At 39.3% G+C, this 26,188-nt stretch overlaps 1 protein-coding gene and 1 long non-coding RNA gene across 10 annotated transcripts in view; one reads left to right on the top strand and one right to left on the bottom strand.

Annotated features, from left to right (window-relative positions):
* NR5A2 (nuclear receptor subfamily 5 group A member 2) overlaps positions 1 to 26,188 on the bottom strand; it is a 149,706-nt gene that overhangs the window by 54,947 nt on the left and 68,571 nt on the right. For all 9 annotated transcript variants that reach the window (NM_205860.3, NM_003822.5, XM_047416753.1 and 6 more), the window contains 2 exons: positions 11,148 to 11,267; positions 1,514 to 1,661 (listed from right to left, as the gene is read on the bottom strand). In NM_205860.3, the coding sequence (NP_995582.1) occupies positions 1,514 to 1,661; positions 11,148 to 11,267 (268 nt within the window). The remainder of the gene's footprint in view (positions 1 to 1,513; positions 1,662 to 11,147; positions 11,268 to 26,188) is intronic.
* LOC107985244 (uncharacterized) lies at positions 12,895 to 21,187 on the top strand. Its single transcript, XR_001738358.2, has 3 exons — positions 12,895 to 13,146; positions 14,010 to 14,064; positions 21,138 to 21,187. It is a non-coding gene; the product is annotated as an uncharacterized LOC107985244 (long non-coding RNA).

The following is a 26,188-nucleotide window of genomic DNA, read 5'->3' as shown; positions in this document are numbered from 1 at the left end:
GTAATACATTTCTTCAACTAATTTAAAATACCATTGAAATGAGATGACCCTGTAAATATTTTATCACTAAGATGCTATACAGTTTCTTATACATATATTACCACATTTTCCATTTAATTAGTGATCAAATGCACTAGTTTAAAAGACTAAGATCTTAACATAAACCAGAATAATTTGTGCGATTACAGCAAGCAGGCGTATGCTTGCTATCTTCCTTTTTAACATTCTAAACACTGTTCTCGGGTAAAAGATGCAGACTTACTTGAACAGAACTTTCCTTTTTATTGTGGTTAATACAGAAACCACACAGGATCCAGTCTTGGCATTGTAAACCTTTGAACGTTACATCCATGAAATTCTGTTGTCCATTTAAATTTTCAGTAACATTTCTTTTTGCTGTATTTATCACATTTTCCAAAATATGAAAATGCTCTTTTTATTTTAAATGTTGACTATACATGAAAAATTAACTCTGGTTCTATTACTTCAAACTACCCCTTTATTAGCAACAGTTGTGCAGTCCTGTCAAGAAGAATTTTAAAAATAAAGTACCAAATTTGGAGAGTAGACACATCTGTTTTACTTTGCAGTTTGTTTTATTGTTTTATTCCCTAGAATATGAATTCACAACTATCTTATAACTGAAGACTAAAGAAAAAACATATGTTGGTGAATCTGATTTCTGCATTTTTTTCATTCAAGGGAAGTTGCCTCCCTCAGCTGTCTGCCAATAAGTAATAAATGGACTTGGCAAAAAGTTTATTTAAGTTGGCTTTATTAAGCCAACAAAATACAGAAATCAAGTAAGGGACAGACAGGAAAATCTGTTCCTTTGAAGTCAATAAAAATCCATCTCCTTAATCCTTTTTTTATTCCAAGCTGTGGTGATTTTTCTCAACTGACTCACTGAGAACCTTGATTTAGCTAATCTGTCTTGCTTAGTTATCTTTCTTTTCCAAAGCTTTCCTAAAGAATCATCCTTTCCCCTTGACAACTGTCATCTTTTGTACTTGCATAGTGGTGCATCTGGTTATAAACATTCTCTAGTTAATCCCGATAGAGATTTAAATACAGGTTTTTAATTACGATTCATATTTTAGAAGAATAAAAACAGAAGTAAATAGCAAGTTGAAACGAAAGGCACATAGAAATTACCAATGGGAGAAAGATGGCTAAAATTTGATACCATACATCTTTCCTAAGCTGTCTGTTTTAAACCTTTGTCATAGCTTTATTTGGTTATTGCTTATCTGTATATTATGGAAGAAAAACCAGGACTCATTTGAATGAGTCAATTGAATAACTCATTTTCCATTCCCCAACGTATCCACTGAAGGGCTATGCATCATGCAGAAATATATATGAAAATATATTCACGTTTGAAGATTTCATAATTTGACAGGAAGGGCATTATATTGATAGAACAAAAACATACATGGACCACAAGATATTTGAACTTCAACATCATTTAGCAATCGTTGGTTGAGCACAGCATGAGAAAAGGATTTCTTACCTAAACTAAAGAGCACCAAGAATTTCAGACATACGAACTCTCGTTGATCAAACTGGAGAGAACGAAGTTTTGCCACTAACTCCTGTGCATGACTCATGAGGTTGTTGAGGGTGGCTCCGGCTTGTGATGCTATTATGGAATAGTCCACCTGCAATACAGAATCACAGTTTTAAGGACTATCAGAATCAGCAATATGTATTTCACCTGAGTCGTAAGAACTATGGGTAAAATCAGATTGCAATACAGGTTTTTAAAATAGAATAGAGATGTGGGGTCTCACTATTTGACCAGACTGGTCTTGAACTCCTGAGCTGAAGTGATCCTCTGGCCTTGGCCTCCCAAAGTGCTGGGATTGCAGGCCCAAGCCACCATGCCTGGCCACAATACAGATTGATAACAGAAGGGATTTTCCCCATGCAAGTAGTTTGAGGCACATTCCATGATTCTAAAATGCATCAGAATTACTATGTCTGATAAATATAATCACTTTTGATAAGCTTTGTAGGAAAGAGGTTTTGGCTACCTAAATTTTTCAAGTATATATGCCTTTTTTATATTATGAAATTACATCATCACATAAGATAAAAAATTTTAACTCTCATGAATAAGGTGAAAGAAAAACATACTGTCCATGAAAAGTGAATCCAGGAGAGTGTTCTATGTATATACAATATTAACTAGTGCATGAGGAAAATAAAGGCAGATATATTTCTACTTGTATTATGAGACTACATTTTAAAGTAATCATAGTTCAAGATTGGATGTTTGTGGATGATGAAAGAATCACATTTAAATTATTCTTTATAGAACAGCAGAAGTGTTAATTTAAAAATTTAAAATAAATACAAATAAATTATTCTTTAGTTTTCTGTTTCCTAAAAAGCATGACATAAAACTGCTATTCTCAGATGATTACATTAGATTACATCAGATTAATGTGTTTCTCTCTAAAGACAGCAATAACTTTATTTAGGAGAATAATTCCGTTGTCTGGAAGCAAAAAAAGAAAAGGCTTATTTCCCTTTTCATTAAAAAAAAAAAAGTGCTGGCCGGGCACGGTGGCTCATGCCTGTAATCCCAGCACTTTGGGAGGCCGAGGTGGGCGGATCGCTTGAGGCCAGGAGTTCAAGGCCAAACCCCATCTCTACTAAAAATACAAAAATTGGCTGGGCGTGGTGGCATGTGCCTGTAATCCCAGCTACTGGGGAGGCTGAGGCAGGAGAATTGCTTGAACCTGGGAGGCGGAGGTTGCAGTGAGCCAAGATCGTGCCATTGCACTCCAGCCTGGGGGAAGAAGCCAGACTCCGTCTCAAAAAAAAAAGTGTTGCTAGGCACCAATCTTAGATTATTCATGGGGACATAAGAAGTTCAATTTATAACAAGTTAAGATGTTGGGATGGCTGTCAGTGATAGCACTGGCTTTGCTGCTGCGATTACAGCATAATGGGAAAGCCCAGTTGGTACCTGACGCTCCCATCCTTTTTTTACTGGAGAGCTCTCAGGCAACCAGATACTCTTTTAGGTGCATTTAATATTTGCAGCAGCAGCAAATTTGTCTGGGAGGCAAGTCCTCATCTGCCACTCACCCAGAGCAGACTGTATTAAATTTTTATATTTATTGACATTTCATTACCATAATTGACTGCACTTGCTTCTCTAGGAGAAGGCACAGGGCTGCCTCCTAAGCAGGAGAACTAGTCCCTTGAGTAGAATTTGCAATTAAAAACAAGGCAGAATGGATTTTTTTTATTGTGTAAATATGATGAGTTGAATTTTCAGCTTTAACTAGAGAATACTGGGTGTACAGAAACCTTTTTCAAGAGTGAGAAAAATTATGAGTCAGAGGAAAGATGACCCCCAAAGGTGTCAATCAGTTTATATAGAGTCAACTATGCATGAAAAAGCCACAGTTAATGTGTGTTAGAGGAAAGCTCTTGCATCATGTACAGCACTGTCTACCTGCTTTAGCCAGGTGCTGGCATCTACGCACTAAATTTAAACATCAAGTGTTGTAAGAACTCCTGTGGTTTCTGTTTCAGAATGTGTGAAAGAAGGGTCAGTACCTGGGCAACCTGAACCCTGAGCTGGAAGGAGGCAGGACACACTGTTGAACTCTGTGGGGCACATTGGGATTATTTGCAGAGCACACAAAGTGACGTCTCAACTATCATTTTGCCAGTTCTCTTACAGGGGAACTTTCTACTTCAAGGAAAGTCCTTACTTTAAAAAGGTGCCTATGCTATAAATTCTTTAAAAACTGCACATAGTCAACTACTTCAGATAATAATAATACAAATTTTACTGAGACTAATGGGATAGATGAGTGAATGAGAGCAGGAAGGCCTGATGGTACAACAGTGGTGGCAAAAGCCAGAGACTAGGTAAGAGACCCGAGCCAATGCTGCCTCTTACAAACGAAGAGCCTTGGACAAGTACGTATAAATCTCCATCCCTTGGTGTCCTTATCTTTAAGTAAGGCAGTTAAGTTAGGTGATGATAATAAGGTACCTCTCACTTCTATGATTATCAAGAATCATAGATGGGACAAGATTAACAATTTAAGCTTGGAATCAACGGAATGCGCTGTAGCTGTAGCTTAATATATACAAAGTATATTGTAGTAAATACCACTAGTTAAGATCCAGGTGCGGTGGCTCACTCCTGTAATCCCAGTGCTTTGGGAGGCCGAGGTGGGTGGATCACCTGAGGTCGGGACTTCAAGACCAGCCTGGCCAACATGGTGAAACCCCATCTGTGCTAAAAATACAGAAATTAGCTGGGCGTGGTGGTACATGCCTGTAATCCCAGCTACTCAGGAGGCTGAGGCAGGAGAATCGCTTGAACCCAGGAGGCAGATGTTGCGGTGAACTGAGATTGCACCACTGCACTCCAACCTGGGCAACAGAGTGAGACTGTCTCAAAAAAAAAAAAAAAAAGAAAAAGGCGAGGTGCGGCGGCTCATGCCTCTAATCCCAGCACTTTGGGAGGCCGAGACGGGTGGATCACCTGAGGTCGGGAGTTCGAGACCAGCCTGGCCAACATGGTGAAACCCCATCTCTACTAAAAGTACAAAAATTAGCCAGGCGTGGTGGCAAGTGCCTGTAATCCCAGCTACTTGGGAGGCTGAGGCTGGAGAATCGTTTGAACCCAGGAGGCGGAGGTTGCAGTGAGCCGAGATTGCGCCATTGCACTCCAGCCTGGGGGACAAGAGCAAGACTTCTCTCAAAAAAAAAAGAAAAGAAAAAAAAATCACTAGTTAAGGCCTGAATCAGGAAGACCATACTAAAATGAAACACAAATATGTTGGTATTAATTTTCCATTATTAAGATGGAGTTAATTAAATATTGTTGTGTATAGTTCTAACAGGTGTATAATAATAAGTTCAAATACAAGAATTTCATATGTGAAAATGTAGTACACTATAACGGAAAGGAATCTGTTTCATAGGATTATATATTTAGTGAGAGACCTTTAGTGAGATGGACCTCAAAAAATCAATTGGTTTACCAACAAATTTATAACTATACATTTATTTACATGCTAATTTGAAAGCTCAAACATGCTTATTAAATGGGGGCTTAGAAAACATTTCTTTCAAGGATATTTATCAAATTGCACAGCTCTAAAGAAGGATAGGTGATTTATTCTTGAAACAACATTCAGATCTCCAACTTCCTTACATTTTATTACAAACATAATTATATTTTCATTGTTGAATGCAGAGTTTGTGCTCATTTCAGGAGCAGTTGGCCTTGTCTTTTATGTACTTAGTAAAATTAATTTTTTGCTCTCTTACATGTAATCTTTGTGTCATTAAATTCAAGGGAGATATTGAAGCAATACTCTAAACTGATGTCCCCTTTAGATAAATTTCACTCATCATGAAAAAGTAGAAAACAGTTTTACCTAAATTGCTTTTAATTCTAATCACTGAAATTTTGATGACTTGTATATTATAAGATGCCTGTCATTTTAATATGATACACAATAATAGAAGATAATAAGTTGCCAGTAGACCTTTCCCTTAGGATGATGTTACAGTGGCTGTTAATTAGCAACAATATGCAAATACTAAAACCTGACCCCACTTCAAAGTACATTATTATTTTATACATACATAGATATATGTGTGCATATGTGCGTGTGTAGTTTTTAAAATATTGGATAGGAAATAATTCTTTTCATAACTAAGTTGCGACTATATAGAACATTTGAAGTGCTTAATATTACTGATAATCATAATTTCCTTTTTGCTTAACAAGGCTATTTAATATACATTTATGTAGATGCCTGATTCAAAGACGCAATTAAAACATAATAGCTAACTTACAGGGTTAAGTGAAACACTGAATCCTCATTTCAATATACAATGTACTGGTGTCCTGGGCTGCTCTTTGCAGTGGGGCTATTTTGGTTTCTCTAGTTCTGAATGAACTATGAACAGACATAGTTCAATTCTGCAAACATTTATTAAGCAAACTTGTGAGCCACTGGGCTTAAGAGAAAGGCTGTGCTATTTTATATTTCTTCTCTTTTCAAGCTCCAAGGAGCAATTTCCTGGATAGTCACTCATTTTTTAAAATCCAGGCTAGTCTTTTTCTTTTTTCTCTGCTATGACAAATTCACCACATTATTTACAGTGAGCTGTGTTTAGTAAGAAAAAGCCAGAAGATTGGGCTACGGAACACCTGGGGTCTTGCATTCCTCTGTCTGTCCAAAGGGTCACTATAAAGCAATGTGTAGACATGACATACATGCTTTCAAGGTGAAACAAAATCACTGTCTGGTGTTCCCTTTGTGTTGGGACTTCATTCCTGATATTGTGGACTGAGGCATATTTAATATTCCTATTTGCCAATCTCAAAATACTCAGTATAAACATTTTCATTTGTTTCAGAAGTAATCATTTTCTCAACAGGGCAGTTGAGAAAATACTGTAAGTAAACCTGGAAATCTATAATGAGTGAATTGTATTTCTTCTGGCTGAGGCTGAAAAAGGTGGCGAGTTTAGTTAAAGTTTCATCTAGTAATTGCCTGTCACTGTTCCTCTGACCTAGAAGGATTTTAAGCAATGGTGTTTTCCTCAACTTACAAAGGAGAGTACAATCAAATATCCTCACTTTAGGGGTAAGGCACTTCCTTATAGAAGCTGAATCATCTGGACAGCTTAGAACACCCATCTTATTCTCCTTGCACTTCCTCCTCTGAAATTTCCCCGCACTTTCTCTGACCCTGTGTAATGGGGCTTACCTGTGAAAGTACACAGTGAAAAGCACTATGCAAAGGGCAGTCATTAATTAGGTGGATGAATTATGCCTCTTATCACTATTGGCTGCAGAGCTGTGTCTAATGTTTTTCCCCTTACATCTTTGATTTCCCTTCATTTATCAGGCCATCAGAAGCATTTGTTTTAACTAAATTAAAAAATGTATTTATCTCCTACAAGTGAGTACCAAGCTGCCTTTAGGGGAATTTTGCATGCTGTATTGGGGTAATACCATTTACTTTTTCCCATGATATCAACAACATGGCCTCAATACAGTGCTTCATGGAAACACACTTCTAGCAGTGTTTGAAAGTTCACATTCCACACAAATCCATGATAGCAGGTCAATATGTCTCTGGGGCAGGCGAGTTATTTTATTTAGAAAAATGAGAAAAATCCTCTTTTAAGATACATGTTTTCCCCCAAAGATTGGAAGAGAATTCAACAAAAAGTTGATTCAAGTGGTGGCATTATGAGTGATTTTTTCATAGTTTTAGTTTTTTCTTAATATTAAAATAATTTCATAACACTAAGCAACAATCACATTAAAATTGCTTGTGAATAACTTAAATCTACTGTAACAATGTGCTTACAATGCCATATAGAAAATTCCCCCAAAAACAAACTACTAACTAACTAAACCACAAAAAAAGCATATCCATTTAGTCTCAATAAAAAAGGAAATGAATTTGTTTTGCTTGGAATTTCCATAGAGTCTGTCATGCACTGGAATTACACATGAAGACCATATTAAATGCCGGCGTGAAGGCAAGCTCTGCAGCATCTGTGAGTTAATCAGATAAACGGTATGGCATGTTGGTAAAGAACACAAACTCTAGCACTAGTTGGCCTCGATCTGACCATCTGTTCTGCCACTTACTAGATGGGTCTTGACCTTGAATCAACCACTTCATCTTTCTTTGCCTTGGTTCCTCATCTGCCAAAGAGGGATAATAGTCCTTTCTTCGTGGGGTTGTTGACTCCATAAATGTCACCCTTGCGCTGGCCTAGTTTTGATGACTTCTAATTTTTGTGTCAGCATTTCACAGAATACTTCCTGTAATTCCTACTGCAATTCTCTCTGGTAGATAACATCATAGTTGCCACTGGACAGGTGAGGACACTGAACCTCAAAAGGTAAAGCGACTTGCTAAATATGACACAGCCAGGAAGTTTTGGAATGGAGACACGAAAACAGGTTGTTCCAATTCTAAATTACACCTGTATGTGTGAATTTTACACACACACACCAGAGAGCACATGGTCTGCACTAGTGAAGAAAATATACTCTAACCACAGCTCAATTGTTATTGGATTATAAACATAACAGGAAGCAGTTCTTTTTTTCTTTTTTTTCTGCCTCCTTCAACTTTCATATCATATATATGTGTGTGTATATATATGTGTATATATATGTATATATGTAGATATATTTGTGTGTATGTGTGTGTGTGTATATATATATATATATCTTCTAGCTTCCACCTCTTTTCTATTATTTTTTTTGAGATGGCGTCTTGCTCTGTTGCCAAGGCTGGAGTGCAGTGGCACGATCTTGGCTCACTGTAGCCTCTGCCTCCCGGGTTCAAGCGATTCTCCTGCCTCAGCCTCTCAAGTAGCTGGGACCACAGACGCATGCCACCATGCCAGGCTAATTTTTTTGTATTTTTAGTGGAGATGGGGCTTCACCATGTTCGCCAGGCTGGTCTCGAACCCCTGACCTCAAGTGACCCACCCGCCTCAGCCTCCCAAAGCGCTGGGATTACAGGCGTGAGCCACTGTGCCCGGCCTCTTTTCTTTTTTATAAATCCTCTTTTCCTCTAGCATATTGCTTTACTCTTATACTTAATATATTCCTTTCCTTCCACTCATCATTGTTTTAACTACCTTCTTAAAATTTGTGTACACAAAGTAATGTTGTTGTAGCAAAAATCTAATTTTCCCATTTTTACACTCAGGGAAGTATTTATAATTCTCAAAAAAATTATACTTAATTTGTTTTAATCAAGCAACCAGGAGAGATACAATAGTTCTCATTTAGTTCAATCAGGTAATATGTATCATGTGCCCAACATATTCAGCTTTGTGCTAGGTACTGTGAGGATATAAAAGAAGTACATGTATATGACCCTGCTTTAAGATATCTGTCTCATTCTGATAGAGAGGTTACAGGCTTTTGAAGTCTTCCTTTGCAGCACTTTTGCTTCCATCCTATGAAACGCAAGAAGCACAGAGATAAATTCAAAACGTTTTGTCTAGATATTCCGCAAAAGAAAATAAACATGTCTACCATAATTGCCATAAATGAGAATGTCTGATTACAATTAATCATTACTAGGGTAGCCACTGGACTGGATGAAAAAAGTGAAGGGAGGGGTTCTGACAGACCTGTGGCACACTTTAAAGGGTGGGGAGGGGAGCTGGAAGAATCCAGGCTGCAGGAAACATATTTAAAGAGTGGGGAGGGGAGCTGGAAGAATCCAGGCTGCAGGAAACATATAAGGAAATAACTATTTCTCCACCATGGAGTTCCTCATTCAGTTCTGATGACAAAACACAAAGCACCAGTAATTGATCCAAAAAACTATAATACCATCCATTCCTTGATTGTTCTTGGTTTTGAAAATCAGACAGCAAGAAATGCACTTTTCTCTATTTTTTAAATAGTAATTACCCTCACCCACGGGCAGCACTTAAGGCAAAATGAAATGTGAAATAAGAAATATTTCTAAAGAGCAGGAATGGAAGTGCTTTGAGAAAAAGAACGGCACAAACCCATTTCATTTCTGAAACTCAGAAGGAAATGAAATCAAATTAATTAGTGGGCCCAGTCTTGTACTTCCAATGCAGCTCCTAGTTCGGTGAAGGTGGGAGGCACACCCAATGATTAGACTCTGAAAATGGGTACATTTTCTCCAAAGACTTGGGTCCCAGAATGAAAATGCCAAAAAAAATTTGAAAGCACAGGAAGTCAAACCCATTGAGACTTTATTTTCTCCTCTGCAACGCTTTTCTCCTGAGAGGTGCAGATAGCAAGGACCAGATAGTGATGGAGATGCTTGAATTGACCCAATTTGCAAAAACTCTGAAATAGTGCTTGCTTTTAATTTGATTGGGAAATTTTGATTTATTAATAATACAGCAAATGATGTGGAGACAGCCCTTCATTTCCAAATAGCATTGCTGTGGTTTCACAGCACATAAACATTTATGGCTGAACATAAAAGATCATGGTGCCGAGTACTGAAGTCACCATTGCTGAACAATGCAGTGGGACCCTGAATAGGTATGACCCAAAGGATTGAAGGAATCACTGTGTCCCACACATTTATTTAAATAGCACATCAGTTGTAGAACGGAGGGTTAAGAAACTGGAGAGACTTGCCTAAATTCCTGTAAAGTTGCAGTTAGGTCTATTAAGTAGACTCTCTCCAAAGACATTCACAAAGCTGTCTCTCCTCCTTTAAGACTTTGCTCAAATGTTACATTTCCAATAAAGCCAAACCAACCATTCCTATTTCACAGTGCAACTTATGGGTCACACTGCAACACATGTCTGTGGATGAGTGTTGATTTTCTTTTCATTGGTTCTTTCCTTTTTTTTTTTTTCTTTTATTCAGTAGCACTTTGACCTTTAACATATTACAGGCTTGTTTCTTAGGATTATTGTTTAATGTCAGCTTCTCCCTGCTACAACATTAAGTTCCGCAGGGGCAGGAACCTTTTTATTTTGTTCACTAATATACACCAAAGCCCCCAAAAAGTAACTAGCACAGAGTAGGATGCTCAATAAATTTTTGTTGATCGAACAAACATCTGTTCAGAAAGGTGTAGGACCTAACAGTAATTTTATTCTCTCTATCTTTCATTTGAATGACTGGATCTTGAAAACTGAAATTCCCCTCCCTTCTCATTTGCCTTTATACCAACTATTTCAATTATTCATGACATCCAAATCCATCTCGTTCACCAATATTTTTCCAAAATAGTAAGGACTCCACAAGTTATAAGGTTTTAAAACAGCTGACAAACAAGTGTCTTGGGTTAAAGCAGAAGCTCGAGGAAAAAGAAAACCTGGGTACTAATCATTACGTTTCATTTACCAGTTCTTCGGACCCTTGTAAGCAGGACTTTCAGTCCCAGCAGACTGGAAGCAGCAGAATGTTCATGATTATGTTTGCTTTTACAAGTTTAACTATAATAATCAGAGCAGGAACAGAGTGCACCAAGTCATCTTTTCTAAATTATTGGCAGCCAATCTCTCCCTTTCAAAGCACAAGAGTGCTTCTGACCTAGTTAAATTCCGGCCATTCTGAACATGCTTAATAAAAAGATGCTTTTTTTTTTTTTTTGGTCTCTACACTCACTTGTTGCCCAGTAACCAGGAAGATGGATCCTTCCTTTCCATGTACCACTTGTCGGTAAATGTGGTCGAGGATTAAGAGCTCACTCCAGCAGTTCTGAAGCAGCTTCATTTGGTCATCAACCTGCAAAAGAAATAGAAACAAACAAACAAAAAAAACAAAAAATGACACTGTTATTCACTACTTTTTTGTTTTTGTGTAATTTTCAACATAAGAGGACTACATATAAACAAGAAAGTCTCCACCCATGGTCACTGAAGCACAGGTGCCCAGAATTCATATCACTGCTCCTGAAAATCAGGATTTTCATTCGGACAAATAGTTTTTTTAGGACACACGTAGGTACTTAAGCTAAGTATTTATAATCAATGAACTGCTAGGAGAATGCACTCCATTAAACTGGTCTACCTAACATTAATAGAGCTATTAGAGTTAGGTCCAGGTGCCTCAGGTTGTCCTGAGTAGGCTCCATTAGAATGACCCCAGATTGCCTATGCTTATGTATCTAAAAGTGAATACAGTACATTAAAGTGAAGCTGAAATAGTACACAGATATTAGCAAACTGCCAAGCCAAAAGAATTCATATAAAAGAAAATTAGCATTACAGCCCATAGGACTTTTGGAGACAAAGACACACAGCCCGTTTTGTAACCAGTGTTAACTGAAAGTCCGATTGTGCTGGACTGAAGAGAACACTCACCAAGCATGATGTCGGTGCTAACTGGAATTTCTTTTATAATTTGGACAATTTTGCCACAAACTCTCTAAACTTCAGTTTTCTGATCTGAAAAACGGGCCCAAGAACAGTAAGTATCTTCCTGACAAGGTTGCTATGAGGATTACAATGAAAAGTGCTACATTATAATGGGGATCTTATGCACGTTCCACCTTCCCCGCCAGGGAACTGCATTCTTCAATGACAAATGCACATCTGTCTCATGTCCAGTCCTCGTATTTAAATATGGACAGCATATTTATCCATTTCTATAGCTATTTGTATCAGTTTACTTTTTGTTTTGTGATGTTTACCGGACAAAAACCTTGGTGTACCCAAATGCAATGGCCATATTTAGACATACACTATACATTATTGAAAAAGCAACTGCCATTTATATGTTGTGTAATATTTTTAAGAGTTTTGTGTATTTTAGATTTGACATGCAAAACATGCCTTTGAAGTTAGCAGAACTGGTATCCATTTTTTCAGATGAGAAAACAGGGGTGTCAGAGAGGTTCAGGGGTATGTCTAAAGACTTATTGGCTAGGCACAATGGCTCATGCCTGTAATCCTAGCACTTTGGGAGGCTGAGGCGGGCAGATGACCTGAGGTCAGGAGTTTGAGACCATCCTGGCCAACATGGTGAAACCCTGTCTCTACTAAAAATACAAAAATTAGCTGGGCATCGTTGTGCACACCTGTAATCCCAGCTACTTGGGAGGCTGAGGCAGGAGAATCACTTGAATCCGGGAGGCAGAGATTGCAGTGAGCAGAGATCATGCCACTGCACTCCAGCCTGGGTGACAGAGCAAGATTCCATCTCAAAATAAGAATTCTCATTCTCCCTCTCACAATCTAGGCTGTCTCCAAATTATATCAAGAGGCTCTATAATTTTATAAAACAAATACATTTAATTCACTTTATCAAATTCATTTTTATGTGGCCATTCCATAAGACTCTGAATAGCTGTCACTGATATATTAGTAGTGATAAGAGTTTCTGGCTAACTTTATTTCCACAATTTCAGGACACAGTGAGCTCAAGAAACCACCAAACACAGAGCAAAAACAAGGATTTGAGGCACAGTTCCACACTTTCTAGCTATGAGAGCTTGGCCAAGCTACTTAATTCTCCAGCCTTATATTTTCTCGGCTAAAAATATATGGGGCAAGTCTTGTGAAGATGCAATGAGATAATGGATGGGAAAGCCCTTTGTGAAGTGTAAAGCAACACACAAATGCAGAAATAACAACTAACAGAAGGCTCCCAACTGGAGGATCATGTAAGTGCTGTTTAGAAGAGAAAAAGAAATTACTTACAGAAATTGAAGCTATAATCAAGCTCTGTGATCAGGAAAAGGCATCCCCCAGCACATCTCCATCAGAAATGTTTCAAACCAGTATGTTCTGACCAAAACAGTTACATTCATTAAGTAAATAGCTATTGTTGAGAGCCAATTCTTTGGTGGTTATAAGTGCCAGGCCCTAGCATATAAGGGTGGACAAGATAAACGCAGTCACTGCCTTTTTGAAAATGATTCTGGTGCGGGAGAATGTTCACCCAAACAGTATTTAGTGGTTTAGTGGACAGTGAGAGTTCACATTTTTCTTTGAAGGAAAGTCTCCAGAATGGCATGTGGTTTTACAATCCAGGTGGTGGGCAGCAGCTTATGCAGATCTGCCCAAATGTTCCCTGCCCACAGCTGACCCAAGGAGCTGTGGCCTAACGTCCTAGCAATATGCATGTCATTGCATACACAGCAGATTCCAGGAACTGATCCTCTCAGGTGCTAAGGAGTGATTTCAAAGCCAGGTGTACTTTGCTCTCTCTGGGTTTTATTATATTCTCATACACTATCAGCATCTTATTTCAGATTTATTAGTCTATGATGGTAATTTGGTTTTGTTATGTTGTTCTGTGATGTGAAGTATTAGTTGTTTATTTAGCACTTATTTCAGGGAAGCCCAAAATACTTTACTTTGAAATTGGCTCCCCAGAAACAATTACCATACATGTTAATGTTGCATCAAATTTCTAAGTGGGTGGGGGACTGTAGAATCCCCAAAGTCTATTTATGGACACCTAAAAAGGATTCCAGCTTAAGAACCTATTTATACAAGAAAATTTATTATTCCCATTTTGCAGGTGGAAAAATGGAAGAACTGAGACTATCTTCTGGCCATGAACAGAAGGAGAAAAGGTGGGTGAAAATTAAGAGAAGTATGTCAGCCAGGTGTGGTGGCTCACAGCCATAATCCCAACACTTTGGGAGGCCGAGGTGGGAGGATCACTTGAGTGCAGGAGTTCAAGACCAGACTGGGCAACATAGGGAGATTACAAAAAAATGTAAAAATTAGCTAAGTGTGGTGGCACACACCTGCTACTCCGGAGGCTGAGGTGGGAGGACTGCTTGAACCCAGGAGGTTGAGGCTGAAGTAAGACATGACTGTGCCACTGCATTCCAGGCTGGGTGACAGAGCAAGACCCTGACACACACACACACACACACACACACACACACACGTATGTCTTCTAGAGCCATCTCATCAAGGGGTCTTCCTCTTCATTTGCATTTGATGGTTCCTGTCCTTCATATATAACTTGACAGAAATAGTTACGGTAACAAGACCTTGCCACAATTAAGCCATACTAAAATTGTAAGACAACAATCTGAGGCCGGGTGCCATGTCTTATGCCTGTAATCCCAGCACTTTGGGAGGCCGAGGCTGGCGGATCCCTTGAGGCCAGGAATTCAAGACCAGTCTGGCCAACATGGTGAAACCCCGTCTCTTAAAAAACTAGCCAGGTCTGGTGGCAGGCGCCTGTAATCCCAGCTACTCGGGAGGCTGAGACAGGAGAATTGCTTGAACCCAGAGGGCAGAGGTTGCAGTGAGCCGAGATCGTGTCACTGCACTTCAGCCTGGGTGACAGAACAAGACTCTGTCTCAAAACAAGCAAAAAACAGTCTGACTTTTCCTAGATTTCTTTTCTTTTAGGATGCTGAGGACACACTTCAAAATCTGCATATCCTCTGTTCCTCTGCTTCTCTAAAAATTGCAGGAATAGGTGAAATTGAGCCTGTCTGTTTTCTGTAATTAGTACTTCATTTTTGTTTTGTATTCTGTGCTGTTCACATTATCCTGTCTTCCTTTGTGTCTAACACGGCATCTCCTATAATCTCCCTGCTTTCGCAAAGTATTATGATTGTTTGCTTATTGTTCTGCCTTCCCTGAGGGCAGGGACGGATTCTGAAGCTACAGCTCCCAAGTGTCTTCCCTGGTGCCTGGCAAAAAAAAAAAAAGCCACTTAATAAATGCTTGCTAAATGAAGGAACAAATGACTGAATTACTTTCACTTCTGCAGTTTTCTGTGTATCTTGTGCATCTAGCCCACAACATAAGCAAACAACTCTTTCATTGTTTGTTTGTAGAATTAATGACAATCTTTACAGGGCAGTGACTACCTCAGCAACTTGCATCTGACCCTTCTCACACGTGCCCTGCAGGTCTGCACCCACAGCTGGCCCTTGGTAAAGACTTGACTGATTGTTAATTTTAACACCCAACGCCGCCCCCGCCACTCGAGCAATTGATTCCTTGTTTTAATACTCTCCGAGGAGGTTTTCTATGCCAACATTCCATTTCATTATTTTCCATAATTGATTATGTGGTATTTTATATTATCTTGAAATTGGTGAGTGTGCAGCTTCATGGTGCTTTGGATAACATAGTTTTTACGCAGCTCTATGAATAAAAAAAATAGGGTAAATGTGATGCCTGGCTTGTTCCCTTGTTCTCAACAATTGAGCAATGTTGACAATTTTGAAGATTTTTTGTTTTTTAAGAAAAACAGAGTTATGGGGGTGTGGGTAGAAAAAGGAAGGGGAGAAAAATAATCTACTTCTTTTAAGCAAATTCTCCAGGTATTAATGCTGTCAATAAACAATTTAGAGTGGCATCTAGGCAGTTCTGGGAAGAAGACCAAAGAAGTTTAAGTTCCACATTATATAGCAAAACCTCTCACTAGTGGTTAGCAATACCACCTCATATAATCGTGTGTTATCAGCTACAATAAAAGGAAGGGCTTATCTCAGAAACCTAGTTACTTATCAGAGAAACTATTTATATTGATATTATAGATGAGAGTGTAAAGGAATACAAGTCCCATATTGTTATGAAGCACAACTTCCCATAACCCAGAAAGTTAATCATTAGAAACTTGTACTTTTTCATAAGAAGAGTGAATCTAGGCCGGGCATGGTGGCTCACGCCTGTAATCCCAGCACTTTGGGAGGCCAAGGCAGGCAGATCACAAGGTCAGGAGTTCGAGACCAGCCTGGCCAACATAGTGAAACCCCGTCTCTACTAAAAATACAAAAAATTAGGTGGGCATGGTGGCGGGTGCCTGTAATCCCAGCTATTTAGGAGGCTGAGGCAGGAGAATCACTGGAACCCAGGAGGCAGAGGTTGCAATGAGCCGAGATGGCACCACTGCCCTCCAGCCTGGGCCACACAGCAAGACTCTGTCTCAAAAAAAAAAAGAAGAGTGAATCTGGCCAACAATTAGAAGAAAAATGTGTAGATCTTTGTCAAGCCCACATTTAGCCTATCAAAACCTTTTTGCGGCCCCCTCCCATTTCCCTTTTAATAGTCCAGCAAGTGAGCTGTTATTTTACTTTCCTTATTGCAGAGGCTTTTTAAAATTGACGTCATAGATCCTTGACCTCCTGGGCTCAAGCAATTCTCCCATCTCAGCCTCTTGAGTAGCTAGGACCACCAGAACTCACCACCATGCCGGCTAATTTTTTTTCTTTTTTGTAGAGACGAGTTCTCACTATGTTGCCCAGACTGGTTTTGAACTCCTAGACTCAAGGTATCCTCCTGCCTTGGTGTTCCAAAGTGCTGGGACTATGGGTATGACCCCCGGAGCCTGGCCAGTGATTAAACTTTAAGAAAGAGATTTTTAAAGAAAACATTCTACAATATGGACTGGTAGTTTTAAGTAGATATGAACTAATTTCTTATTTCTGATCGTTAATTTTGGTGTGTCAGGTCTTGTGTTAGAAACTTGAGGGAAAACAGATTATTAAAATACAATCCCTGCCTTCATGAAACTCACACTCCAATGAGAGGAGACAGAAGTGTGAATCCATTATTATAATGCCATATGCACAAGGAAAACGGGAGTAGTTTATACCATTCCATTTCTTGGGGAGGCTTCCTAGGGGGTCAGAGAAGGATGTGCTGAAGCAGGTTTTAACTTGTAGAATCACTTTTTTTTTCTCTCTCAGTGTTTCCTGTTAGAATGCTCTTGGAACAAAGTATAATGTAGGGAAAAAAATGAGGCTGGGCAAGGTGGCCCACATGCCTGTAATCCCAACAATTTGGGAGGCTGAGATAGGAGGATCACTTGCATCCAGGAATTCAAGACCAACCTGGGCAACATAGTAAGATCCTATCTCTACAAAAAAATAAAATAAAAAGCCAGGCATGGTGGCACACGCATATGGTTCAAGCTACTCAGGAGGCTGAGGCTGGAGGATCACTTGAGCCCAGCAGGTAAAGATTGCAGTAAGCCATGACCATGCCACTGCACTCAGTCTGCGCAACAGAGCAAAACCCTGTCTCAAAAAAGTAAAAAAAGGCCAGGCATGGTGGTTCACGCCTGTAATGCCAGCATTTTGGGAGGCCGAGGCAGGCAGACTACTTGAGGTCGGGAATTCGAGACCAGCCTGGCCAACATGGTGAAATTCCATCTCTACTAAAAATACAAAAATTAGCCAGACATAGTGGCACGTGCCTGTAATTCCAGCTACTCGGGAGGCTGAGACAGGAGAATTGCTTGAACCCGGAAGGCGGAGGTTGCAGTGAGCCGAGATCGCGCCACTGCGCTCCAGCCTGGGTGACGGAGTGAGACTCTGTCTCAAAAAAAATAAATAGAAAAGGAAAGAAAATGATTTTGAAGATGCTTCAGAATCATTACAAATTAAGTCCAGCTATTATTCCTTCTTTTTTTCTTTCTGGCAAAAAGAAAAAAAAATCCCTAAAGATGAATTTCCATCTCTTTTTGTAACAATGATGACATTTATAGAAGTTTGTTCTGAAGAGGGGAGAGAAAAATTAAAACCCAAACAAATCAAAATCAACTTACCATATCTTAATGAGAACCTGCTCTGGGCAGGACAGACACACAACTGCATTAATCCTTTACTGTTTTCATAAAGAACACTGATGATTATCTGCAACCTCTATAATAAACTGCTACAAAGTCCAAGAAAAAATGATTTCACATTAACAATGATTAAACAAGCACTAAAAACACTACTGTACAAGAGAACTAAGAGCCAGTAAAACGCCCTAGTCAATTGTTGCAATACTCAATAGATTTATAACCAGAAGTTCTTCCCTGCCCAGAGATAACTGGGGGTGATTCCAATGTGCTTTCTAATTGTGCTGCTGCTGTTCCATAATACAAAGTCCTATCTATCAACACTTCCTTGGATAACTGAGCTATGCTGGCCCCTTTCCATGTTTCTCCAATGCAGCACAAAGGACCTCCCCCTAACCTCCTTTTGCCAGATCTGGACTCTCTCTTTTCTATTCCCACCAAACCCCAGTTTTCATTCATTTCATCTCCCATGTACGTCACGCCCAATAGTCCCCCAGAATCTGGACCTACACCATCTCCATACTTCTCCCTCTTGTTCTGTTTTATCATATACAGTTACTACAACTATCTGTTTTGGTCACACTGTTCCTTTGGACAATCACCTCTTCCAAATTCCCTAGACTTCTCTTCGAAAATCTTCACTAAACCAGATCTCCCTAATCAGTATATGCTGGGAATAGATTATCCGTATGCCTCCTTCTCCTCTAGCCTAGGTTGGCCTGCAGCAGCCAGAAACTGAGGGCAGTTGCCTCAGACTGCGAGCAACCCGCTTTGTTGATACTGCTGTGACATGTAAATATTATTTTTTAAATATGAGCCATATAATGAAAAAGATGGAGAAGTTTTTCTTTAAATGTCCTTTCCCATGTCAACTTCAGCTCTTATTACATCCTAGTTCTTTGGTAAGCATTGCCTCTTTGCTGTAGGCATCTTTCTTATGACTTGTTACTTCTACTACCACTATTGGGAAACCCTTACATTGTACTCTCAGGCACTGTCCTAAAAGCTTTACATGCAGGCCAGGCACGGTGGCTCACATCCGTAATTACAGCACTTTGGGAGGCCAAGGCGGGTGGATCAGGTCAGGAGTTTGAGACCGGCCTGGCCAACATGGTGAAATCCCCTCTCTACCAAAAATACAAAAAATTAGCCCAGCGTGGTGGCATGTGCCTGTAATCCCAGCTACTTGGGAGGCTGAGGCAGGAGAATTGCTTGAACCTGGGAAGCAGAGGTTGCAGTGAGCCGAGACCACTCCATTGCACTCCAGCCTGGGTGACAGAGTGAGACTCCAACTCAAAAAAAAAAAAAAAAAAAGAGTTTTACATGCATGAACTCATTTAATCTTCACAACAACTCAATGAAGCAGAACTTATTATAATCCTCATTTTACCAATGAGGAAACTGAGGTAGAAAAGTTAAGTAACTTTCCAAATGTCACACAGCAAATAAGCAGCAGAGCCAATATCTGAAGAGTTCATGGTCCTAGCAACAAGGCATATAGCATTATACCTTACCTAAAATATCCATCAATGCATTGAGAAACCATTCTAAAAGGCGCCTCCTTCAGGAAGTCTTCCCTGATCAACTCCATCCCATACTATCATTCCTATATTCATGTAACCTTTTGTAATATGTTAACCTGCATTAATGGATTTGGATTGTGCAAAATTCTTAGAGTAAGCGGTTCAAAACTTGAGTGCATATAGACTGAAAATTAAATTGTACAAAATAAGCTTTCATTGTCTTGGGGCCAGATTTTGGGAACTTCATAAATTGGGAATGGGAGTAAAGGGAAGTAAAATTGGAAGTAAAGCAGAGGTAGGGGTGGAGTTTAGTGGCTGTCATTCTGCTGACATCCTTAATCTCCATGGAAGCAGGGCCTCCTCGGTCCTGCCCAACGTTCACATGTTTAGGTGTAAAGTGAACGAATAGCACAGCAGTTGGGAAATGAACATGATAGCTGTCAGCAGAAGGGGTAGACAGAAAGCAAAACAGGCTGGTCCTCTGCTTCTTGAACAGCTCAATCCAGAGTCACTCAGTACAGGAAGTCAGAGGCCTAGACTTCAGGAACCGCTAAAGAAACCACTCTGTAACCTAGGGTCCAACAGTGAGCATTCACAACCATGACAAGTCATTGGGAACAGGCTTATCAAATCCTCTGTTTAAAAAGTCATGGAATGGTGCGATTTGTATTAGAGAGTCTTTATCAAAAATTTTAAAAATTCTTTCAAAGTGCAATGTTTCCAAAGTTAAGTTTCATTCATCCAGAACATCCATCCGCATGGTATACACGATATACCTAGTCCCCAGGGATGTTAAATGTAACACTACTTTATATAAAGATATGCTAGTGTCACTTATTAAATGTCAGGTTTTTCATTTATATAACTGTGAGGTAATTACATAAGTGAGTGACATCTTTGAGGTTTACAGTATTGTATGTAAATGTTAAACAGCACTGTGAAGAAACATATAATCACCAGGGTATATAATGTAACTTAGTCTGCTTCTTTTGCATAGAATTATAGCTACATTCTCAGAATTTATCAAACCAAAGGACAAAGTTTGGCCAGCTTTTATTCTTCCTCTTAACCACGTTTCAAAAAGCTTCTTGTTGAAATATCAATTAATTACAAACTAATGATAAGTTCATCATATCTGGGGACTCAGGAATTTTGTCACCGCAGTCCTGGTAGACTTTTCTGTTTCTTAAGTTTCCATATATAGCCACATATAATTTATATGATCTGATTAAGGTGAGCACTAACAGGTAATGGGACTATTTTTGAAAGTGGCTTATGGAATCAATCACATTCCATTGCTTCAAAGTCAAAGCATGTACACATGTTAAGATAGAGGAGGAAAAGGAGGTCTCTGCCACTCCTGGGTTAGCTTTCCCATACTTCCCTTAAGAGTTGTGCTCAACATGATGATTCAGCTAGTGCAGTAGGGTGACTCTTTCATGAAGTTGCAAAGTAAAGAACATAGCAATTCGTGTATTGACAAACTTCATAGCCTACCTAGCCCCTGATTTTTTGACACTGGTATGAAAAAGGATGATTTGTACAAGGGCATGTTTAACCTAGGAATCATTTATCTTCTCAGATTGTGGATATACTCCAATCAACAATAAAGCGAACAACATATATTAGTGCTGGGGACTCTCAAGACTTGAATGAATATAACACCTAGTTGTTATCCTCAAGGAACTTATAAATGAATTGGACCAACAAGACATAGCCCTGCAAAATACTTAGTGCATCAGGAAGCATACAAAGTATTACACTCTGTGGAATCAATAATTCAACAGTAAATATCTGTATGTATGCATATATAGATATGGATAATGTCACATCCTTAAGAAAAGATTTGGAAGCAGTTTACATGTGAGATGAATAAACTCACATATAAGATGAATGGGATAAATGAAGACATGAGGATAAAGGGAAATAAAGGCAGGAAAATAAGTCAAAGCCAAGGATCAGGATCAGCCCCAAAATAAGCTCCATAAGGGTTGTTTCAGTTGTTGGAAATGAGCCACAATTTGGTTCCTTGTAGCCAGAGCCCATTACTGACATGATTTCTTTTTGTACATGAGATAACAATCAAAGCACTTTTTTGCAAAACATCTTCTCCTACTACTGGACTCCTGAGCAAAATTTGTGGGTTTTTCCAAGACAGAGAATTCCAGATTATGTAAACAGGGCTCTAACAATATCCCCACAGTAGATACAATATTTAGCCTCACAGAGAGTGTTCTTTTGAATGCCCTCAGTGTACGCTGATGGCAATGTTAAGAAGAGCCAAGACGATTTGGTCCTAGAGCACAACTTTCTAATGGTCTGTTTTATTACAAAGATAAACCAAGACAACACAGACATGGAGAGAATGCATATATTTTAGGCTCCATTATAGCAGATGCCAGGGCTGCTAAACACTATAAGGAAATGCATAGCTTTGGAGCTCAGAGACCTGGGCACCCATCTTGGTATTCTCACTAACCAGGTAACTTTGGGCAAAGAACTAAAACTTAACAGACACCCTATTAAAAACACCACATAGCAGACATCCTGTTAAAAATACTTAAACTGAAATCCAAATAAATAAATAAATAAAGGCAAAATATGAAAGATGCTAAATGAAGTACGAAGGAAAATATTTCAGGTGATGCAAAATGTTCATGAACTAGAAAAGAAATATTTTAAAGTAGATTAATGAGAAATATTTTCCAGTGCCTTCTCTTTCTGGGTATTGTTTCATTTATGACCACTACCTGTTTCCTGTTCTCCAGTTTAGAAATCTCTTATGTATAATTAAAGCAATGTTCTCACATGTCTAACCTGGCAGATAATATTCAAGTAATAAAAACAGAATCCTTCTCAGCTTGATATATTTTCCTCTGGGTTGCTTGGAATGTCAAGAAGGCAGTTGTGAATATGATGGTCATTTTTCTAATAGCATAATGAGGTTATGTTTGTAATTCTCATTTTCCAGACACCGCCTTAAAGGCAACAATGCCATCAGCCAAAAAAGAATTCCAGGTGTGGCCAGGCGCGGTGGCTCATGCCTGTAATCTCAGCACTTTGGGAGGCCGAGGTGGGTGGATCACGAGGTCAGGAGATCAGGATCATCCTGGCTAACACGGTGAAACTCCGTCTCTACTAAAAATACAAAAATTAGCCGGGCATGGTGGCACGTGCCTGTAGTCCCAGCTATTTGGGAGGCTGAGGCAGGAGAATCACTTGAACCTGGGAGGCAGAGGTTGCAGTGAGCTGAGATAGCGCCACTGCACTCCAGCCCGGGCGACAGAGCAAGATTCCATCTCAAAAAATAAAATAAAATAAAAGAAATCCAGGTGTGCAGCAGACCCATCATCTGGATATCAGTGATTATGGCATAAATTAAGGAAGATTTTGGTTGCCCTCCAGCTTGTAAAATAGATGCACAATGAAGGTCCTTGGCATAGTAGGATTAAGAAGAAAGGGAGAAGGTGAGGGATATTCCAGAGGGCATGCTCCGTGGCTCCCTTGAGGTCATTTAATGCAACTTCTTCCTTCATAGGTTGCTTTACAAAGCCAGGAAAAAAAAAAAAAGGCTTATAGAGGCTAAAATGTCCTTGGGTCCTTTTTGGCTGGCTGCTTCCATCAGGCAGTTGGCCAAAGAAAGGAGAAAAGAATTCGAGTGGCCTAAATATTACTCACCAAAAGTACAACCGAAATTAGGGCAGAGGTAAAGGAGAGGTCCCTAAGGACTGTTCAGTGATGGGAATTCTCTGGGTACAAAGGCTCCTGGGAGAATTCCTCTGCTCAGTTCCCCAGGGACAAGTAGAGGACTTGTCCCTTCACACAATTTAAATGTCCCCTTAATGTCACAGTGCTAAGTGTACAGTCAGTCTATGCCTTCAGAGATTCCCAGAAATGGATTCATAGAAAGTAGTAGCAATTGAAGATGGAGCTCCAACAGTCGAAGTTTGGCCCTAAACTACAGAAAGATTAAGTCTAGGTAAACAACAATTTTTGCTTTGTTAAAAATTTCTAGATAGTGTAGAATATTTAGTGGGAAATATTTATGCCAGTGCCCTAAACATAGCATGCTAAGAGTAATAGGTCCTATCTAGTTTTCTGTCTTTGACACTGTGAATGGTCTACCCTTTCATTACCTGGACTGGGGACACCCCCATCCTGTTACATGCTGAATCACACCCTGGTACTAGGCTCACCGCAGGTGCTTAATTAATATTTGCTGAATCAATGCTGAAAGTATCTGATAGCTACATTTCGTTCAACTACATCATTTTATAGAAGAGGAAACTCAGGCTAGGTGGGCTGTGGTTTATATAAGGCTACTCAGGTGCCAGAAACAGGATGGGAATCCAGGTGTTCTGAATCCAAGCCCAGTGCTCTTTCACTATGCCTCTTTCATATAAGAGTAAAGAACAATCTTCCTATTTTTTTCTGTAAGTTATTTTTTTAAAATATAATATTGCCCAGTTTCTTTCCTGCAAAGAAATACATTAATGATAATTTGATTTCTCTATTTCAAATGTAAAGAAATTTGTGATTTGGGAAATGAAGTCCTTTGGAAGTTTACAAAATACAAAACCATAGATACCAAATGATAGAACCTTGGAATTATCTGGACATAAAATCTAGATAGACACTCCTTCCGATTTGGGGGAAAAACAAGAGAAAGTGATTCTGTTTGGGAGATGAACTGAGGCCTAGCATTTATTCTGGGTCTCAGTCCCAGAAGACTCAGAGGTGAAGTTGTCAGTGGCCCCTCTTACAATTGCTTACAGCTCGGCAGGGTGGAGTATGGGCACCCACTCCCACTAGATAGCTTAAATCTCAAAAGGAGGGACATGGAAACATCATTTACAACATTGTAAGGCACAAGTTTTGACAAATATTTTAGTTTCCTTGTCCTGGCCAGTTAAACAGGGGAAAACATTCTACACAAGCTGCAAGGTAATGATTTTGAAATCAGAATCACATTAGCTAGATTTTTAGCAAAACCACACCTAGCTCTTTTGCACTGTCTGAAGAGGGTGTGTCTTATGGCATATTTCTTATTACCTCTACTTTCATATTCTTCCTATTCTAGATTAAAGGAGAAGAATATGCAGGCTATGATACTATACTGCCTTTCCCATTCCCACCCAACATACACACCGCCTACACACTCCCTTCCTAAGACGTCAGCATTGCCCTGTTGAATCTGTCCCCATGAGGCAAGGACTCTGTAGGTCAGTCCCAAGACAATCCCTTTATGTCTTCCATATTTCTAGATAGCCTTTCCTTTACTCACTGTTAGTAATCTCTACAACTATTGGGTTTATATCTGAATATAATGATGAAAGATAGCATATCAAGATCTGTAAGAAGTTATGCATAGCACAGCCATCCTGATATACAAAATATAAGTTCCCCAAAGGTGGCTGAGAAGTGAAAGATAAAGTATTGAATTTCTTTTTCCCAATTATTCTCATCATAAAATGGGAGAAATACTCTTTGTATTAAAGGAATGCATTTCTAACAGAGGTGAGTGACGAAGGGAGTTCTTTTGTCTCCCTTGTAAGAAGGGAGAGAGACAGAACTGTATCCCTTCCCATTGCCTTTGGATTTCACACAGTAGGAATAATATTCTGGAGAGGAGGAGTGGCAATAAAAAGAAAAAAAGAAGAAATAATATTCTGACAAAGGTTTATTTTAAAAAAAGAAATAATACCCAATTTAAGTGTTGATCTTGTGTGTGTTTTATTTGAAATATGAATCACAGAGAAAATGGGTTTGATATTTATAGAAAGAAATCGTTTACATTTTCCATGAGCATGCACTGTTCTTTGAGGGAAAGCATTTTTCAGAGAAAGAAGAATTGTGTTTCTAGAGGTATTCTCATGGCTTCTCACACACATAATTACTCATGCATGCAGGTCATGCTTCGCTTAATGATGGGGACATGTTCTGAGAAATGCATCATTAGGTGATTTCATCCTTGTGTGAACAGCAGAGAGTGAACCTACACAAACCTAGATGGTAGCACCTACCATGAACCTAGGCTATATGGAATAGTCTATCGCTCCTGGGCTACAAACCTGTACAGCATGTTACTATTCTACACTGCAATACTTATAATGGTAAGTATTTGTGTTACTAGAAAATGGGCAGTAAAAATACATTATTATAATATGTTGGGACCACCATCATATATGCAGTCCATCATTTATGAAGCATCGTTATGCTGTGCACGATGTACTGTGTGTTTGGTTGTTCAATGACACGCTGCTTCTACAGAGTGACTGAGTTGGTTGGCTGTTTTGCTGGAGTGGGCTGGTTGACTCATGTCAAACAATAAGGTAATTCAGCCAACTCATTAAATCAGTTAATTTTTTAATTGAACTGACCAACAGTTTCTGCTTGTGTAGACAGATACAGGCCTAGAGAAGGGTTGTTACCACATATCAGTCATACATACATACCACAGTCTGTTTTCCATAGCTGATCATACAACTCATACCCTGTTGTGTTTGAGTGTCAGGAAGGCAGCACAGGCCAGGCACAGTGGCTCACGCCTGTAATCTCAGCACTTTGGGAGGCTGACATAGGTAGATCACCTGAGGTCAGGAGTTCAAGACCAGCCTGGCCAACATGGTGAAA

The sequence above is a fragment of the Homo sapiens genome, chromosome 1 (assembly GCF_000001405.40).
Source record: "Homo sapiens chromosome 1, GRCh38.p14 Primary Assembly".
NCBI lineage: Eukaryota > Metazoa > Chordata > Mammalia > Primates > Hominidae > Homo > Homo sapiens.
The sequence above is the reverse complement of the archived record's forward strand: the minus strand, read 5'-3'. Positions and strand labels throughout refer to the sequence as shown.